Below are 5,881 nucleotides of genomic sequence, written 5' to 3'. Positions count from 1 at the left end.
TATGTTTTTAAGATATATCCAGGCTGGGGTTTTTGTGTGTTTTTATTTAAATTCATTTCTTTTCATTACTATATATTTAATGGTATCTATGTGACAAAGTTTTTCTAACACATTTCCTCTTTGGTGGACTTTTTTGTTTCCTTTTTAATTTCTTTTTAAATTGAGGACACAGGTGCTTGCATTTAGGGCCTACTCAGATACTGCAGCAAAGATTTCTCCTCTTGATCTCTGTATCTTAATTACATCTGTTAACATCTTGGTTAATATTCACTCCTTTGTGAAGATTTTTGCACCAACCAAAATTTGTTCATCCATTCCCTTGATGAACATTTGTATCGTTTACAGTTTTTAGCTATTATTACTAAAGCTGCTACAAAAAATATGTGTAGAATTCTAGTATGAATATATGCTTTTATTTTTCATGGGTAAATGCCTAAGAGTGCAATATCCGAATCACATGGTCTGTGTATGTTTAACTTTTTAAGAAGCTGGCAAACTGTTATCCAAAGTCGTTCAAAATTTTTACAATCCTCTGAGCAGTAGATAAGATTTCCATCTTCTCCATATTGTCACCCACACTTGGCATAGTCAGTCTTTTAAATTTTAGATATTCAAATAAGTGTGGAGTAGTATCTCATTGTGCTGTAGATCATAATGATGTTGAGCATTTTTTCAAGTGCTTTTTTTCGTCTTCTCTATATTTTCTTTGGGGAAGTGTCTGTTAAAATATTTGTCCATTATTTTTAATAAGTTTATCGAATTTTGAGATGATTTATATCTTCTGAATATGTCTTTCTTGAGATATGTGACTTTCAAATATTTTTAGTGTACTTTATCTGTTCATTATCTTAAGAGTGTCTTTCAAAGAGCAGAAGTTCTTAATTTTATGAAGTTCAATTTATTATGCTTTTTAAAAATTTGTTTAAGTCACATTTTGTTCTTGCCAATGAACATGTTCTATTTCTCCTCCTGTTTAGGTCTTCTTTAAGTTTAATCAACACGTTTTGTAGTTATCAAAGTATAGGTCTTTCACCGAAGGTTAAGGTTTGAATATTAACGTGCTTTTTTTCATCTATTGATAAAAATCTCATGTCTTTTCCATTGTAACTTATAAATATGGTATTGTATCATAATATACTTTCTAATCATCAATAAAACCAACAAGACTATTGTGTATTTATTTTATAATTGCTGATTTGATATTTGCACCTTGGTGTGACTTCTGTTTTTCCCTCGTATCTTTTTCGGTTTGGGCATCAAGGTTATGCTGGCCTCATGTAAAATTTTGTGTAGTAGTCCTTTTCTTTATTTTTTCTCTAAAAGATTTTGTTTCTGTCTTGTTTTTATATTAGAGTGATCTGTTCTTTGAAAGTTTATCAGACCACTGTTATAGAACAATTTTATTCTAGTGTTTTCTTTAGGTATACGTTTAGCGCAAGAGTAATTATTTGAACTCCCAAATCAATTTATTTAAGGTTCCAAGATAGCTTTTAAAATTCTTCTTGAGGTTGATTTTTAAGTTCAATTTGTTGGACATTTTCTAATATACTGGACTGCATTTGTTATATTATTCTATTAAATTGAATATTTGCTAGATATGTACGTATGTCAAATTTTCATTCTAAAAATCAATTATTTATAATTTATTTTCTCTTCTCTCTTTGATAAGTCCTATTAATTATTAGAAGCTTTGTGTATATTTTTGGTCATTTCAAAGAATCAACTTTTGATTTAACTTTACTTTGTTGGATTTAATTTCATTTTATTTTTCTCTATTTTCTTAATTTTAGGCTTTTAGTTCACTATCAGCTTTTTTCTTTCTCATGTTCATATTTGAGGTAACGTATTTTTTCTTAGGTATCCATTAACTACTTCCCATCATTTTAATGGGTAATATTTTCAATATTAGTTTATTTTTAGTATTGTACTTTTATATTTTATTATGATTCCTTCTTTTGACATTGGCCATTCAGAATTATACATTTATTCATATTCATTTTCATTATGTTTTTGTTATTGGCATCTGTTTGAACAGATTTGAGTCTGAAAATATTATTGCATTCATTCAAACTACAAGTATTCGTTGAGTACCTACTGCACAGTAGGTACTTGTCTTTGTTCTTCAGATAGCCTGGTGAATAAACAGACAAAACTCATTTGCCTTCATAGAACTTATAGTCTATTGACATTAATACTTCATTAAAGTTTATTTTTATAGCCTAAAATATGTTGAGTTTTTATAGATGTTCTATATGTACTTAAAAAGAGGACATATCACTGTTTGTTGCTCAGGTCACTAATTCCTTATATAAATATTTCATTAACCAAGCTTATGAATGTTTGTCAATTCATCTACATTTGTACCAGTTTTTTATATATCTAAAAGAAATAAGTTGAAATATTTTATTGTGATGATGTATCTAAAATTTTCTCCCTGAGGATTTATCAATTTTAGTTTTATGTATTTTCAGGGTACTTTATATCTTGATGCGTTTGTAATGTTGTAACTCTTAGATCAATTGAAAATTCAATACACACATGCAATTCTTAGCTGGTATCCACTTGTAAATCTTTTTCTTTCCATTGGTTTCCAGTTCTCTCCACTTGATTTGGGATTGTTTCTTATAAACAAAGTACAAAAAATCTTTTAAAAATTAATCAGATGACTTCTTTCTCTAAACTTATATTATTTACATTTATTGTGTTTAGTAATAAGTCTGAGCTTATATTTTACTATGCATATTTTAAATATTTTGCTGCTTTAAATTGACTTTTATTGCTTTCATTTTTTGTTTGTGTTATTCCACTTTTTTCCATTACTGACTTACAGTTTGGAAGTTATATAAACTTTTTATTTCTTAACATTGATTCTTCTGATTTTATCTCATGTACTTAACAAAGTTTAATACACATCAGTAAGACTGTTGAAAAATATGGCTCTCTTAAGCAGTAGGTTCCTGAGAACAGTAACTCAGGCCACACTTTTCCTGCTTTATGTTCTATTCTGCATCACTCATGTTCTACCATTTTTATGGCCCTATTATTTAGACACCGGCATTATTATTTTGTAATGATAAGGCCTTTTATCTTTACTCATAAATTTAGCAATTAATTTGATCACCCTTTCTTCTTATAGTGCTATTCCTATGGAGAATCAATTGTTGATTGTATTTCACAGTCTTCTAGTTTCATTTCTTGCCATCGAGATTCTATGGCATTGTTAGTCTGTTTATCAGTTATCTATTGCTACAAAAGAAACATTCTAAAACTTGGTGTATTAAAGCAACAAAATGGTTTACTAGTCTTAAAATTTAAGAGATTTACTTGTTGTTGCTTCTGCCTCACAAAGTACCACCTGGGGCTACTTATGTGACTGCATTTATCTAGGGGCTAAACAGGGATCAAAAATCCAAGAAGGCTTCTCTTATATCCGAGAACTTTATGCTATTGAATAAGGTGACTGTTCTTCTTATGTGGCTTTTTTCTCCACATGATGTTTTTAATATCATCTCCTTTCTACACGGCCTCTCTTGCCAACTGAAATGGACACAGGGTCACTTCTACCTCATTTTATTGGTCATAACAGGACACAGAGTGGGCTTAGATTTAAGGGGAGGAGAAATAACTCTACATTTGTAATGAAAGGAGTGACATGTCCTGTCCAAAAATCTTCATTTTTTTCCCCCAAATGACCAGTTGTAAAAGGTCAAGACTGTACTAACAAAATATATGCTATAAATAACGGCATTTTTTTCCTTTCCTGTTAAATCATTACTACAAGGAAACCTGGTAAAAAATCACTATAAAGATCAGATTTACAGGGAATTCTGGTTAAGGACATTCATTTGCCTGAAAATCCCTGGTGAGAAAGAATAAGTTTAAAACCAGCTGTTAGCCGTATTCTTCCCACTATCATTATTCTATGATTCAAATGAGCCCAAATATGGCCAGTGATAACCCTATCAAGAGAGTTATTATTCTTATTTGGCACAGATTCATTTATTTTGTTTTTTATTTAGACAATTATACATATTTTCCACTTTAAACAGTTTTAATATGCCTCTAAAAATAATATATTATAATTTGCTGATTATTTTGATCACATGTGCTTTCTATTTCATATTTTGCATTCAGATTAATTTTATATTCTCTATTAATTCTAATAACTAAGGTATTTAACATTATAAAGTTATTTTGCTGTTTCTATGGACTTTCATTCATGATGGCCGTCTCTCTTTTTGTTTTCATTAATTTTTAAATTTATTTGAATTATATTAATCTACAGAAAACCTGATAGCCTGAATTGAGGATAATTAATGTGTAAAAATGATTGGGTTTGCATCTGTATCTCCTTGGGAGAAAATAACCTGGAACCACTCGAGCCATTTCTCAGATTCTAAGAATTAATCAGGGTTCTTAGGTTTGCCTCCCTCTCCTTGATGTTCATCTTAGATGCAGTATGAATATCACACGGCTAATTCATACGTGCACTGAGGGACATCACAAATTTTATGTCAGCTTGGGAACTATGTCTGTTTTTTGTGTGTTTCATTTTCTTAACTTTTATTTTTTTCCCTTTCTTTCCTTTTCTGTTAAAATTTTTATTCCTCTCTAAAAGCCTAGCAATGAATCAAAATATCATTTTATGCAGGGTCTTTTCTGATTGAGTCTTCCATATTATTGTAAATGGAAATTCAATGTTTCTTCTACTAGAAGGGATTTCAAAAGGAGTATCAGTTTGCCTGTTTTATATATTGGCTGTTGAGTAAGTTTTCGTTAAAAGTGTTCATAGCTAAAGAAAGAAAATAATTATTGTTAATAACCACTACAGCACATTTTCATGCATACAGACAAGGGATTCATAATGGAAAGACAGAAGAAAAGTGAATAACTTCCAATATAGTCTGCCAAATTTTCTTTCCTAAACCTAGTTATATTAAATTTCCACATTAATGATTTACTTTTTGAGCTTCTGAATTACCTTTGATTTCCTGTAGTCACAATTATGTTTGAGAAACTGTTCTCATTTCACTCTCAGTTTTTTTTTTTGTTACCTTCATTAGTTGACAAGAACTGTGTGGGACAGTGGGGTTTGTATAAGCTCTAGAGTTTCTATTCAATAGCTAGTGATTTTCTTTCACCATTCTTTAAAAAGCAAGAAGATTCTACTTTTGAATTTTCTGCCTTTCAAGAAGTTTTATTCTTCCCTTGGGGTTTAAGGAGCCATCTTTTAAACTTCAGAAGTCTCGACTTCAGTTCAAAGATTAAAAGGAATGATGGAATGTCAAAGGCTTCTCGAAGTAAACAACGTTCTTCCAACTGTGAAGAGACAGTCTTAATCCAGGATAAAACGACTATGGATGGAATAAACACCTTTATATTTATTAAAATTACAGAAAGGTATTGGTTACTGGCTGGTTTATACTGTAGCCCTTTTTAAGGGTGAAGCTATGTACTTTTGACATTATTTAGTTTTTAGCAGCATTGTATTATATATATACAAAGGCTTTACTTGGAGAGGGGCTTGTTTTTTTGTTTTTTGTTTTTTTTGATGGAGTGTCACTCTGTTGCCCAGGCTGGAGTGCAGTGGCACGATCTCGGCTCACTGCAACCTCCACCACCCAGGTTCAAGCAATTCTCCTCCTGCCTCAGCCTCCTGTGTAGCTGGGACTACAGGTGCACGCCACCATGCCCAGCTAATTTTTGTATTTTTAGTAGGACAGGGTTTCACCATCTTGGCCAGGCTTGTCTTGAACTCTTCACCTTGTGATCCACCCACCTCAGTCTCCCAAAGTTCTGGGATTACAGGCATGAGCCCCCGCACCTGGTCTTGTTCTTTTCTGTTTTAAAATACATCCAAAAATTTCCAGTATTTTCAGCA

Source organism: Homo sapiens, chromosome 18 (assembly GCF_000001405.40).
Source record: "Homo sapiens chromosome 18, GRCh38.p14 Primary Assembly".
NCBI classification, from domain to species: domain Eukaryota; kingdom Metazoa; phylum Chordata; class Mammalia; order Primates; family Hominidae; genus Homo; species Homo sapiens.
Note: the sequence above shows the minus strand (reverse complement) of the source record.